Source organism: Homo sapiens, chromosome 13, assembly GCF_000001405.40.
Source record: "Homo sapiens chromosome 13, GRCh38.p14 Primary Assembly".
Lineage (NCBI taxonomy): Eukaryota > Metazoa > Chordata > Mammalia > Primates > Hominidae > Homo > Homo sapiens.
The window spans coordinates 51,081,854-51,096,879 of record NC_000013.11 but is presented as its reverse complement, the minus strand read 5'-3'; the positions used below and the strand labels follow the sequence as shown (position 1 = coordinate 51,096,879).

Genomic DNA, 15,026 nt, shown 5'->3' with positions numbered 1-15,026 from the left:
AATGTTTGTTATAGTTTTGGTTTTGGAGCCATGCATATTATTTACATAGTTTTAAAATATTAAAGCAAAAAGAAAAAAGCAATCCTTAAACATGAAACTCAACTGAAGCATAGGAATCTAACAAATTACGAAGTCAAAGGCATAATCACACAGAAAAGCATTATTTCAAGAGACTTTAAAACAGAATTTTGGTTTATACAGTCCAAGGACAAAACACACACGCAGATGTACACACACATCTTAAACTGCATTCAGTGGGCTTACTATTGGAATGTTGAAGTTACTATTTTGAAATGATTGTATATAGTAGGGTAAAATAAATAAATAATCTTGTTAATGTTGCATGGAACCAAGATATTCAGTTTAATAGAGATACAAATATGAACTAAAGAAGTTAAGTGTGAAACCTCTACTATTCAATTTGAATTAGAGAGACTGTCAGTTTCTGCTCAGGATGTGGAGAGCAGGAAAGAATGTCACTCTCAACCTTACAAGGCCATGGAGAAGGCCACATCCCCAGGGACACAGCGCCTGCCTGAGACTGGGGCTTTATCAGAAAACAGTGAATGCCCTCTTGTCTCTCACCACCATCCTAACAAGCATCAGGTAGAAACTGACAGTGGAATACTGCTAACAGAGGGGCAAAAGTGAGGAGGGAAACCCTCTCTTTAGGAAAGCAGAAAGGAAAGACCTAAAGCTGAGGATGCAGCAGACATTGAGGACAAACTCTCTGGAAAATTAGCCTGTACTTTAAACACAAGGTATTTCTAGAGAGATTTAAAATCTGTGATGTATTTCGAGTAACCATAGCAACAACAGTCCCAGTCCCAGCTAAAATCTTATCTAGATTGACTCAAAACCAAACTAAAGGCCTAGCCAAAGGAAAGACCATTTGCAGGCATAAAAACCTCAGTGTCTACTGACCTACATAAAATGCCTGGCTTTCAACAAAAAAATTATGAATTATGTGAAAAAGCAAGAAAAGAACAATGCAGTACCAAGCAACAAAGCAACTGATAGAACCAGACTCAGATATGACACGAACATTGGAACTATCAGACAGGAAAATTTTAAAAAATTATAATTAATATGTTAAAAGCCCTAACGGAACAGGTGGAAAACACACAAGATCAGATGGATAATTCCAGCAGAAAGATGGAAACCATAAGAAAGAACCAAATGAAAAGACCGGAAATGAGCAGCACAGAACAGAGATGAAGAATGCCTTTGCTGGGCTCATCAGTAGACTTGATACAGCTGTGGAAAAAATCAGCAGACTTGAAGATGGGTCCAAAGAGATGACCAAAACTAACACAAAAAGAAGATATAGTTAAAAAAAAAACCAAATAAGTAAATAAATAAAAAACAGAGCATCCAAGAACTATGGGACAACATCAAGGGGTCTAATATAAGTATAGCTGGAATCCCAGAGAAGAAGAAATAGAGAGGGGGGTATGAGAAATATTTGAGGGAACAATGGCTGAGATTTTCCCCCAAATTAATGACATATACTAAACCACAGATCTAAGAAGTTAAGAAAAACCAAGCAGGATCAATAACAACAACAGCAACAACAGTGATAAAACCTACATATATCATAATAAAATTGCTAAAAGGACAAAGAGAAAAATGACTCATTACACAGCATAACTAAGATAAAAATTACAATAAATTTCTCATCAGAGATGATGCAAGCCAGGAAACAATGGAGTTGTATTAGTCTGTTCTCACACTGCTAATGAAGACATACCTAAGACTGGGTAATTTATAAAAGAAAGAGGTTTAATGGACTCACAGTTCCACATGGCTGGGGAGGCCTCACAATCATGGTGGAAGGCAAAGGAGAAACAAAGGCACATCTTACATGACAGCAAGCAAGAGAGCATGTGCAGGGGAACTCCCCTTTATAAAACCATCAGATCTCAAGAGACTCAGTATCATGAAAACAGCACGGGAAAGACACACCCCCATGATTCCATTATCTCCCACAGGGTCCTTCCCATAACACATGGGAATTATGGGAGCTACAATTCAAGATGAGATTTGGGTGGGGACACAGCCAAACCATATTAAAAGTGGTATCTTTAAAGTGCTGAAAGAAAGAAAAATAATACTTATCAACAGAGTTCTATACTCAGTGGAAATATCTTTTAAAACATGAAAGCAAAAGAAGTATTTGTTAGACAAGCAAAAACTGTGAGAATTCATCTTTCAGCAGACCTGTAGTACAATAAATATTAAGGATACTTTTTGAAGAGTAAATGTGGTACCAGATAGAAACTTAGATCCACACAAAGAGGTGAGGAGGACTGGGAAAAGGTAAAAATACAATTTGTGGGTTTAAAACATTTTAAAATTCTCTAAATTGTAACTAATTGTCTAAAGCAAAGAGGGTAGCAATATATTGTGTGTTTACAACATAATTAAAAGTGAAATGTATTGTAGCAATAATACAAAGTGTGGGAAGAGGAACCGTGAACACACCGTTTTAGTTTGAGTTGCAAATATCAGTATGAACTCAAGATTTTTTTATTTCTAAAAGATTAGTATTTCCTCATTTATTGCACTGAAAAGGCCTAGAAGTAATGACAACCCTGTAGCAATAAAATCCGTAACATGTATATTGTGCTGTCTAAATGCCACTTCCAACTAAAAATTAAGTTTTCTTTGGAGAAGTAACAGAATCCAGGTCTGGAGTAGAAAATGTACAAGATGAATATTGGGCATTTGTTATGTCTAAAAGTTCAGAGGTTCTCAAAGATACCAGGATTGTGTCAAAGAGACTCCGGATCCACCATGAAAGAGTTCTTGCTGTCAAAATGCAGGACAGTGTGAGCATCAAAAAGAATAATTACAACTGATGACAAGACATCAAATATGTTAAAAATACATGAATTTTAAATAATACCCCCCCAAAACAAACAAGCAAGTGAACCTTATTGGTTACCTCGAAAACTTTCTAGGGTATCAATTTATTATATGGGAAAAAAAGAGCAAGTATTCTGCCATTCCTAAACAGACTATGTGGTTGATGAGGGAAAGTTATTCATACCAAAAGCACAGTTAATAAATGCAGGAAGGTTGAAGAACTGGAAAAGCAACATTTTGCAACTAGTAGTAAAATAATGAATCTAGACAATGATTGCTAAAAGCATTAAGTAAAAGGTAGATGGCAAATTTTCTAGTAGATGGATCAAGCCAACATCACATAAACCCCCAATCGATGTCAACATCGCACGAAACAGGAAAATATGCACTGTGTGCCTCCTGGTGTGTGATACACAGCACCACTAACCTTATTATTTAAAAAATTAAATCTGAATTGAATTAAACCTTTAAATCTGAACTTTGCAATTCAGTAGCCACCAGTCACATATGGCTATTTAAATTTAAATTTAATAATTAAAAGTTCAGTTCCTCAATCACGGTAGCCACTTTGCAAGTACTCAATAGCCACTCACATGGCTAGTGGCTACCATATTGGACAGTGCAGATGTAGAACATTCCCAGCACTACAGAAAGTCCTACTGGACAGCCCTGCTCCAGATCTGAGGACCAGTTATAGGGAATTTGAGGAAGAGAGAAATGTGAACCAATACCCAGAAGAAGGAGTCAGTCAAATCCAGAATGTGAGAAAGTCTATGGAACAAGAGATGCAGATTCTTCAATTAAATCACCTGCATAAATCATTAAAGAGACTTAAACAGGTAGCAACTAAATGTGGACCTTGTTTGGATCCTAATTTGAACAAACCAACTTGCACAAGACATTTTTGAGTCAGTCAAGAAAAATAGAACATAAACTAGGTACTTCCTGATATTAAGAAATTATCAGTTTTGTTGAGTATAATAATATTGTGGATAATGTTGCTGAAAACTCTTATCTGTTAAAGATACATTTTGAAGTATTTATGAGTAAAATTATCTTTTTTTAGGATTAGCTTTCAGAAAAAAAAGTGAGAGGTTGATAGAGGAACAAAAATGGCAGAAAGGTGATGGTTGTTGCTGATGATGAGTATATGGGGTTCATAGTTCTATTTTCTATAGTTTTTGTATTGAAAAATTTTTTATAATAAAACATTTTTAAAACTAGGATATGCCTATGTACTTCTCAGCTTCACAAGTTGAATGACTTGCTTATTAAAATTAAGTTATATTTGTTCCCAAACTGGTTTATATAATTTGGACTTCTTATAATTTATAATCATGTATTTTAATTAAATATGATAATATATGAATGATAAAATATAATTTCTTTTATGGAAACTAAGTTGAGTGTTTTAGAAAGATTCACTAATAGAGAATTGCTTTTTAAAAAGCAACAAAATGAGGTTTGGAATAAGCAAATGTGACAGATTTGAAAAAAATTATAAATTATAAAGAACTAGAAGGATTTTACACTCAAGTTTTTTTCTCAGGTGCCTAGATCACTTTAAATAAACCAAATCCGGAAATTTTAGATGAGATATTGTGGATAAGATTTAGGTGAAAACAAATGAATAATTCAAATGAATAAATCCTATTCAAAAGATTGGTGATCAAAAACATGGATTAAAGTGAAGAATTTAGGAAAATGTTATGCATATTTACAGTAACTTGATAATAAAATGCAGCTTATCGCAGGTGGTAACAGACTTGGGGGAGGTGGCATAACTTGTGGTTTATATGATAAAGGAACAGGTAATTTATCCCCCAACTAGGGACACGTTGGAGAGTGAAAAGAGGTACTATGCATAATCCCACTGGGATAACAGGCATAAACTGGGATGATTCCTGAGCATGCCAGGATGTTTTGTCCCCTGGACAGTAAGAGATCAGAATGGGAAAGTGCGCCCCTGTGGGTGAGATGTTCTCATACTTTGGGCCAATAGGAGAGAGCAGCAGGGGATGGATGGAGTCTCGTTACCTGGGCCTCTCTGTGTGCTAAGCCATAGGAAGGACACAAAGACATGAGGAGTCTGGGCCCCTTAACCCAGAGTTTTGTTCTCGTCCCTCAATGACCTGTATCCTGTCCCCTTGTGTCATGTCCCCTGTGTTCTTGTCATCATGGAGACACTCCTGTCTGCTCTTGCAAACCCAGGGAGTATAACCAGGATTTGAGGTTTTCCACTCTAAACCAGTCATTGAGGTGGAGATCGTGGGCCCCTTTGCTGTCTCCCCTATGTTCGGGTCCCTGTAGAGTGATGATTCAGCCACTGTGTATTAGAATCACTTAATTGTCTAAATTAATTGGTTTAGGAAAAGGGCAGCATAGATATTCTTTAAAAGCACCCCAGGAGAGTCTAACAACCACTGGGATTAGGTACCACTGTTACAGAGTCACCCTGACACTGATGGGGGATAGCATTATCACTCTCAGGACTGGGATCTCAGACTGGGTCAAGGGGCAGGGAAGGCAGGCAGGGCTAAGTAGGAGAATAAAGCAATTTGTTTATTCACTTACATTTGTTTATGCCCCTGCCTTATCCCATGAAGGATTTAGGGCAAGGCAGTGGGGGGACTAATGAGGATAATTGGACAAGTGGAGGAAAGCCCTCTTTTGTGATGAGAGTTAGTTACACAGGCACATATGGGTCAGCCACAAATAACGTCACCAGTGTGCCGCCACTGACTCACTCCCCAGCCACAGCAGGATCCAAAAGATCTTTCGATCTTTTATAACGAGTTTTATAATGACCATGTATTGACTGGGCCAGCAGAGCCCGGGAAGTGGGACCTGGAAGAACAGGCTCTTCAGTGTCAGCCAAGGAGCTCACTTGTCAGTGTTTCAGAGTGATCCTGGGATGGTAATTGCTGCTGAGCTTTGCAGAAATGGCAAGGTGTGGGAAAGTGACACAAGTCTTGAATCCTAAAGCTGAAATTTTGGAAATAGGCGACATGTTTGAATATTTGGAATCTCACCTCTAGCAAAGGTGCAGCTGAAAGGGCTATTGTCCACTAGCTTGGATGACAGAGAGTTCAGTGGCTGAGGTGGTGATTTCTATGCTAATGTTTTCTTTTTTTAGTTTATAAATGTTATCCTCAGAGGATAATACTTGAGGAGATTCAGGAGATTCACAACAAGACAACATTCATGTTAAGCTAGCCAATGGCCGGATGCTTTCTTAGCCTTTAATAGCTAAGACACCAACATTGACTCTTTTCCTAACTCTTTAACAATTAACAGCAACCGACTGAGGCTGCTTTGAGCTGCTAGCCAAACCCTCCCTCCAGAGACACTTAGGACTGAATCACTTAAATCAAATAATAGGGTAACCCAGATAAAAAATAATATGATGAACACAAACAAGATTGAGACCTTTGCATTAAGCTAAACGCTGATGACAGTTGCCTTCTGAAGACTTGGAGATGTGCCCTCCATGTGGAGGTGGGTTTTGAGGTGCAAAACCACCATGGACCTTGCATTACTATTAAATAATACCCATCCTTCCTCAGGGGTCAGGCTGGGTCAGCCAAAGAATGGCTTTGTCCATTCTTTGTTTCTCTCTCCTCCACTTCACCAAAAATCTCTAAAGTGATATCTGTCATCATAGACTTAGGTTAGGTAATGAGACCCATGGGAACCTAGAGGATGGAAACTTAGCCCAGGAGAGGGGTAGCCTTCCTGGAGAAGGAGCAGTTCCAGCCAAGATTCAATGGATGAATTCGGAGTCAGCCAATGAGAACATCCAAGGCAAAGGAAGCAGCAAGAGAAAATGCAGGGAGAATAAACAAGTGTGGACCTACCTCCAGGTGTGAGCCTTCTGTCACCTGCCTTCAAGAAGGATGCCTGGCAGCTGGGCCTGCTGCACTAAGAGACTGAGCCTCCTGGTTTTTTAGTCTCATCCCATGCCCAGCCCTTATTGTGCCTGGTGTCACCCAGTCTAGAGCGTCTCCACTTCCTGAAGGTTGAATTGTCCCTCTTCTCAGCTGCCACCCCACCCATGATGTTCTGGGACCTGGTCCTCCTGCTCCATCACATTGGTCACCTCTCCATCTGCTTTCCAACTGGCAGAAGCTTTTGGAAATTTCTCTTCCATGGATGGCCTTTCTCTTGTTCTCTTTGTTCTCGAGGTTTCTACTTTTCCTCTCCTCAGTTTCATTTTAAAAGAGAAAGGCCATCTGTGGAAGAGAGATTTCCAAAAGCTTCTGCCAGTCAGAAAGCAGGTGGAGAGGTGACCAATGTGATGGAGCAGAAGCACCAGGAGACACTGCTATAAGGATCCTACCCAAGACTGGGTAATTTGTAAATAAAAGAGGTTTAATTGACTCACAGTTCCACATGGCTGGGGAGGCCTCAGGAAACTTACAATCATGGTGGAAGGTGAAGGGAGAGTAGGCAGCTTCTTCACAAGGCAGCAGGAGAGAGAGGGCGAGCAAAGGGGAGGTGCCACACTTTTAAACCATCAGATCTCATGAGAACTCACTCACTATCATGAGAACAGCAAGGAGGAAACCGCCCCCATGATCCAATCACCTCCCACCAGGTCTCTCCCTCGACATGTGGGGATTACAATTCAGAATGAGATTTGGGTAGGGACACAGAGCCAAATCATATCAAGGTGTATATTGTGGTCCTTCAACATCTTCCTCTAAGAAAGCTCTTAGAGCTTTCCTTTGATATTTTGCAAGTATAAAAGGAAAATCCTCCTATTTAAAAATGTTTCTTAGTAGTACAAAATGCATACACTTAATAAACATCTTGTACACATAGAGATGCTGTTTTCTTTCCTGACACACCAGTCTATAAATCATATTCACTTTTAATACCATCCTATTTTCAAAACGCCCATATAAAATAAAATAACTCTACATTGAATCAAAATGCCCATGTTAACACATCTGTCCCTTTTTTCCTCTCCTCAAGTCTTCTTATTTCCTAAATTCCTCAGAGAGTTTTTTATTAGTACACGTATTGATTTGGTCAGTTCTAGAGACCATGAGTTCTCCACTGAAACCCATCTTGGATCTTGAACTTCCATGGTATCAGTCACTCATGACGGGATTGTTGTGAAGATCATGAAGGGAACAGTCAGGAAAGAGCCCGGAACCTCGTAAGCTACTGAATAGATTCTTGAAACTCTCTATTTTATTATTCCTTGTACTTTTCAAACAACCATACTAATTTTAATTTATTCCACGATTTGAGTGTAAATTTGGTTCCTTTAGAAACTGAAAACATCTTTATTTAAAAAAATTTTTATTTTTAATTTTTGTGGGTACATAGTAGGTATATATTTATGGGGTACATGAGATGTTTTGAGACAGGCATGCAATGTGAAATAATCACATCATGGAAAACATGGTATCCATCCCCTCAAGCATTTATCCTTTGTGTTTCAAAAAATCCAATTATACTCTTTCAGCTATTTAAAAATGTACAATTGAGTTATTATAGAAACTGACAACTGTTAGAGCATTTTCAACATATCTGGAGATCTATCATCTCTTTCCTGTGGTGAGCGTCTCACCACCTACTTAAGGAACTGTACAATCTCCTAATTGGGTGTTTATCAGCAAGGAACAAGGCTAAAAGAAGACATTATTTTGCCTAATGTCTGACAGCAAATCTGTGATGAAGAAAGAAGTAGATCTTGTTGTCCTTTCACTCTCCCTTCTTGAGACAATTAGAAATCCATTGACCTACAGCAATTATGGACCTGGAGTATCTACCTTCCTTCCACAGGGCACTTATTCATAGTTACCTTTGAAACCTCACAAATCCCTAACCCCACGCGCATTTCGTTTTAGCAACATTTCACCCTTTTCTGAGTCTCTGGCTTACTGGCTCAGGCAACTCTCTCTTCTCCCCTTCACCTCTTGCAGAAAGCAACCCCAAAGAAATACTCGCAGTTCAGTGCTGATGTGGCCGAGGCCATTGCCTTCTTTGACTCCATCATTGCAGAGCTGGATACAGAGAGACGACCCCGGGCTGCTGAGGCCAGCCTGCCAAATGAAGATGTGGACTTTGACGGTGAGTGCCAGGAAGGCAGTGGGAAGATGGTGGCTGAAGGCGGGTGGGGCTGTGATGCTGTGAGGATGGGCTGGGGGCTCTGGGGTGGACTTATAGAATAGGCCATCAGGAATCCCACCTCCCTGATTAAAGGGAAACCCTGCACCTCCAAGCTGGAGCCTGGCCCTGAGCCCATCCTCTGTGGGGATCTCTTACTTCAGTTTTCTGTGCTGCCACGGCTCTAGGCTGCCTCTCCAACACTCTGGTGCCATGTTTGGACAATGTTTTCCCTGTGGTCCACTTACCACGGCTGAGACAGGTGGGACTTTCCTAAGACTCCAAGAAGGACAGCAATAGGGAAATGATGAAGGAAGGAGAATCGATGAGGGGTGTCATTTAAAGGGTACACTTTCAGTTTTTTGAGATGAAAAAGTTCCAGAGATCGCTTGCAAAACAACGTGAATATACTGAACATGACTGAATGGCACACTTAAAAAATGGTGATGATGGTAAATTTTATGTTCTGTACACTTCACCACAACTTAAAAAAAAGAAATGAAATGGACAAACTGTATTTGAGAATCCAGCTTCTGACCATACGTAGGCTAGGTAGTAGGGTGGTGCATAGGGCAGGAGAGGCCCACGGTGGCTGCCCAGACCCAGCCTGGACTGCTGGAGCTGGAGTGGGGTGAGGCCTGAGTTCATGCTTCCCTCCTCACCAAGGCGTGTCCTTGGGCACCCCTCCTGATGGAGAGCAAAGAATCCAAACACATTCATCAGTTGAGCACCCTTTACATTCCATCATGCGACTGTCAGACAGTTTGTTTAATCTTTGACTTGCCCACCATGGTGTAAATTAATGATAGTTTTATTCAGGGGGCTCACTGGCCCCTTATACTAAGGTTAGAGCTTTTGGTACCAATATTAAATAATTCATGAGTGTTTTCTCTAATGCTTGAAAGAAGCTTGTGATTTGTTGTTGTTGTTCTGGCCTTGATAGATGTGTATCTGTGGGATTTGGGGTTTCAAATTGGGTTCTTTGCAGTTTCACAGAAGGTTAACTCTGCTCCCCAAGCTTATTCTTATCCTCCTCCTCTCCCACGCAGCCCCTCCAGTCCCTGACAGACAGCAGCCCTGCCCCTGGGAGTGAGGGGGCCTAGGAAATTCAGGATATTGGTGAAAGGATGACAAAATCCACTAAGGATGCAAGGGTCATTTTCAGAGTTATAATTTTTAATAAAAATGAATGTGACCAAGTCATTTTTATTAAGTTCATGAAATGACCACTTTTCTCCTCTGATAACAAAAAACATACCAAAGCATAAAGAAGAAAGTAAAAAATATGACCTGCAAAACTGCCACCCAGAGATAATCATCACCGGTAACATTTGGGGATATGTCTTTTTGAGTGTGGTTTTAACACACACACACACACTCTCTCTCTCACACACACACTCTCTTACACACACACACTCTCACATACACACACACAAACTCACAAACTCATTTTAATTTTTTTGCCATAAAACTAGGATGTCCTTTCATTTAACAATTTACAATACATCTTGGGCTACTTTCCAAGCCCATAAATATAGATCTGTGTCTTCTTGTTTTTTTTTTTGTTTTTTTTTGTTTTTTTTTTTGAGACGGAGTCTCGCTCCATCGCCCAGGCTGTGTGCAGTGGCACGATCTCAGCTCACTGCAAGCTCTGCCTGCCAGGTTCACGCCATTCTCCTGCCTCAGCCTCCCGAGTAGCTGGGACTACGGGCGCTCACCACCACGCCCGGCTAATTTTTTGTATTTTTCAGTAGAGACGGGGTTTCACCGTGTTAGCCAGGATGGTCTCAATCTCCTTACCTAGTGATCCACATGCCTCAGCCTCCCAAAGTGTTGGGATTACAGGTGTGAGCCACCACGCCTGGCCTTTTTTTTGAGACGGAGTCTCGCTCTGTCATCCAGGCTGGAGTGCAGTGGTACAGTCTCGGCTCATTGCTACCTCTGCCTTCCCAGTAGCTGTGATTATAGGCACCTGCCACTACGCCCGGCTAATTTTTGTATTTTTAATAGAGATGGGGTTTCACCATGTTGGCCAGGCTGGTCTCAACTCCTGGCCTCAGGTGACTGGCCTGCCTCGAACTCCCAAAGTGCTGGGATTACAGGCGTGAGCCCCCGCACCTGGCCTATGTCCCCATTTTTAATGGACATATATTCCATTGCATTCCTCCTGCACCACAACTGCAGAGTCAAATCTGCTTTGCTTGGCTATTAGGAACATGGTTGCCTACACCCATTTCCTGTGAGTGTTCAGTCCAATCCGCCCTCTCCTTTGCCTTATGCGCCTCCCAATGGCAAGCCCTTCCTTCCTGGGTCACATGCTTTTCTCTTCTAGTGGCCACCAGCTCCAGGGAGCACAGCTTGCATTCTAACTGGATCCTGCGGGCACCGCGCAGACACTCCGAGGATATCGCTGCCCACACTGTGCATACTGTAGACGGCCAGTTTCGAAGGAGCACCGAGCACAGGACCGTGGGCACTCAGAGGAGACTCGAGAGGCACCCCATTTATTTGCCCAAGGCTGTGGAAGGGGCCTTCAACACCTGGAAATTTAAGCCCAAAGCCTGCAAAAAAGAGTAAGTGCTTGGGCTAAATAGCATGACCAAGATGTTCTCGTGGCCTCCAGACGCTTGGGGTGATCCTTAAGGTGCCTCCAGCCCCATCTTACATGCCAAATATTATTCATATATATATATATATATATATATATTTGTTGTTGCTGGTGGTGGTGAGGTCTTAGTTTCAACATTTTTTTTTGGTAGTCTGCACTCTAGCCTGGTGCACTGCTCCTAACTTGCTTCTTCCTGGGTCTGCCTCCCTTTCTTTCTGGCCCACTTAGCCCATGCACTGTGCCATCCACCTTCATGGATTTCCCCCCAGTGCCATTGACGCATGGCATGCTACAGACTTTTAATGAGTTTGAGGTTCAACAGAGCATAGCACCAAGAGGAAACCAACATCAAATGAATCAGATGCCCCTCTCTAAAATGCACCGGGCAGGCTCCAAGATGTAGAACGTCTTGCTGGCCAGGCCCCTCTTGGGCCATCTTACCACCATCTCCTCTGGCCTGTCTCCTTTTAGATCCTCCTCCCCCAGGCCTAGTTACCATCACTAACCGTCAAATTCCTGTTATCCACTCGCTCAGAGCAGTAAGCTCTTTCTGGGTTTGGGCAACCCAGGCCATGCTGCAGGGCCTTGCCTGTCACAACGGAAGGGCCTGTCAAGCCTCATCAGCTGTCTTCCTTTGCTTCTACAAAAGCCACTAAACCCTGTTGGATTTAGGGGCTTTCTAGATAGCATTTCCCTTCCACAGTAACAGACCATGCACTGGACATATTAAAATCACAACCCAGCCCTCACCACCCGTCCTTCCCCTTCAAGGCCAGGCCAAGGTCCAGCTGAGGTCCACCCATGGCCCCCATGGCGACACCATTTGGTCCTCCCCAAGACCCAGGACTAGGGCAGCAATCTGAGGGTCTCCATGAGAATGGTGGTCATTGAGCATCCCTTCCCTCTGTGTGGCCGGCCAAGCCGAACTTAAACCTCCTGCCTCATTCCTTCCTTCTAGCCTGGGGAGCTCCAGACAGATCCTTTTCAACTTCTCAGGAGAAGATATGGAGTGGGATGCAGAGCTCTTTGCGTTGGAGCCCCAGTTGTCTCCTGGGGAGGACTACTATGAGACAGAGAACCCCAAAGGACAGTGGCTGCTTCGAGAAAGACTTTGGGAGCGGACGGTGCCCTGACTCCATCTGGATTCCTTGACGTGTCTCAGACTGGGTCCCTGAGAAGCTGTCCGCTTTCAGCGCAGCATGAGGTATTTGGTAGAGTTGAAAATGCCAATTGTAACACAGTCAACCCACTCAGCACACTGCCTGCTGGTGCCGTGCCAGTGCCAAACAGACCTGTGGCTTCCCAGGGGACAGGTCTCAGGACACTCTCAGAGCTTGAGTTTCTCTGCGTGGGCTGATGACCAGGGACTTACAGCCTGGCTGGTCTTCAAGAGCTGAAGGAATGGAAGGTCTTGAGTGGAGTGTCTGGGCTCACTCCCCTGACCTCACCTGGCCTGGTCCTCATTCTCCACGTGTCTGTCCAGGTGGCTGCTAGCAATGTGCTCAGTACCAGAAATGAACTCACCTGTAGATTTCTGGGCCAAAGCTTCAAAGAGGTAGCTCCTCTTTCTATGAGGCTCAGAGACATGCTGGATCTGCACTGAGGTTGCCGTCTTGTGTGCAGAATGCAGTTGAGAAAGCAGCTCCTTTTGCTCTCTTTTCAGAGTTTTCCAGAAACTCCTGCTGCATTAAGCTAAGATGAGGCTAATGCCCTGGCAATGGGGTGAGGGAAGGGGTATGTCACGAGCCTGCCTGGGGGCCACACTGTTTCCTCAGGCCCCAAAACTCAGCTCCCCTTCACATAGGCAATTGACAAGAGAAGAAGGGAGATGGGGTGATTCTTTTCTTTTTCTTCTAATTCTTACCCAGAAAAATCTTTTTAAATATCCATGGAACCAGTTTATGACAGGCCACACCTTTCCCTTTCCCCAGTTAAGAGAACAATCAGAATCATTACGTTCTTTTGGTATAGAAAGGATTTCTGTATTTTAGGAACTATCTGAATCAGAATTACATTTAAAATATATTCTTTGTATTTCTAAATACTTTTTACATTTTTGCAATAGTTGTACCCATTCAAGCTTGAGAACCACTGGTTTGGAGAATATACTGAAATTTATCTATTCTCACTTCTTTTTTTGGCATTTTCTTGTAAACCAGTCTGTGCATGTATAAGGGTCTTTGGGCAGAAGGAAGGGAGAGAGACAAAAAACAGAAAACAAAACAAAACAAAGAAAACCACAATCATTTGAATTAAGCCAAGGATGTTCTAGGCTAAGGTCAGGCTAAGAACTGAACAGAGGCTTCCTTTCTGCCATGCCTGTGGGATGATATTCTTATTGTTCCATTTTTTAGGAAGAACCTTTTGTTTATGTGAACCTGATCATATGAATCTAAGAATATGTAACTCTTACAAATAAAAAACAGCTAGTAATTATATTGCATTCTTAGAAATTTTATCTCAACATGTTTTCAGAATGAAACCATACTAGAAATGTTTTAATACCTCTCTTTATTATTTTTCGAGTGCCAATGTCAATGTTTGGAAAGTTTCTTTCATTTTGTTGCTTGTACTAACCCAGCTATAGCCAGAAGCTTGACTGGAAAGTAAATGTTTAGGAGATTTGTTTTATAAACTGCATTAAAGCACTGCCATTTATCACCACAGATCTTTTATTTTCCCTAAATGTGGCCTTGTTTGAAGCCTCATCTATAAAAGTTCATTGTTGGGGATAAACTCAGGATAAAGGTGTCTTTACTCTGCCTCTTATCAAACTACAGTTTATCATAGATCCACCCTGAAATTATGTGGTGAAGATACTGTGTACATTTTGTTTTTAAAGATAAGAAAAAATAAACATGACTGCGAGGATGTTTGGAGTCCTGATTTTTTAAAAAGCATTTATTGCTTATGGCACATGAAGCTGTGCCGTCTTATTTTGCTTTGTTTTGTATGTTTTTTGTCTTTCATGAGACTATACACAGCCTGAAAAATTCCATGATTGGGAAACAGAAGGTTGTCTTGTCTTTGGGGATCATTTTTAGGTGTTTGAAGTTGGTGATAAACCCAAGGATCTGTGCTCTGCCTGGGGAATCTTGAGATGGTGTCTGGTGGGGTTTGAGATAAATGAAATCTGAAACAATAAAAGTCAATTCAGAAAACCCAGTTGAGTTGACAGATTCTTTTCTTCCTTGGATTGGCCAGTTATTCAATGGAATCAAGCTGATCACTGAGGCTATGTTAGATCTCTGGCTTTCCCAGGATTCTCAGTTTTGATACATGAAAATCTACCTATCCCTAGACAGAATGTCAAAAAGAGAGGATGTGCATCCGTGGCATCTGGCTTGTTTTTTAGCACCTGGTTTCTAGCTCCCGCTACAGACTGTCTTCTGCTTCATGGGGCAAGATGCATGGAGCTGCTAGTTTGATT

The 15,026-nt window shown here is 41.8% G+C and overlaps 1 protein-coding gene across 4 annotated transcripts in view; it reads left to right on the top strand.

Moving 5' to 3' along the window:
* The window catches only part of C13orf42 (chromosome 13 open reading frame 42), a 90,270-nt gene extending 75,509 nt beyond the window's left edge, over positions 1-14,761 (top strand). For all 4 annotated transcript variants that reach the window (NR_102431.3, NR_102432.3, XM_024449398.2 and 1 more), the window contains 3 exons: positions 8,805-8,952; positions 11,321-11,561; positions 12,555-14,761. Coding sequence is in view for 2 of the 4 variants with exons in the window: in XM_024449398.2 (XP_024305166.1) it covers positions 8,805-8,952; positions 11,321-11,561; positions 12,555-12,729 (564 nt within the window). In the remaining 2 variants the exon portion in view is untranslated. The remainder of the gene's footprint in view (positions 1-8,804; positions 8,953-11,320; positions 11,562-12,554) is intronic.
* Positions 14,762-15,026: the final 265 nt, after the last annotated feature.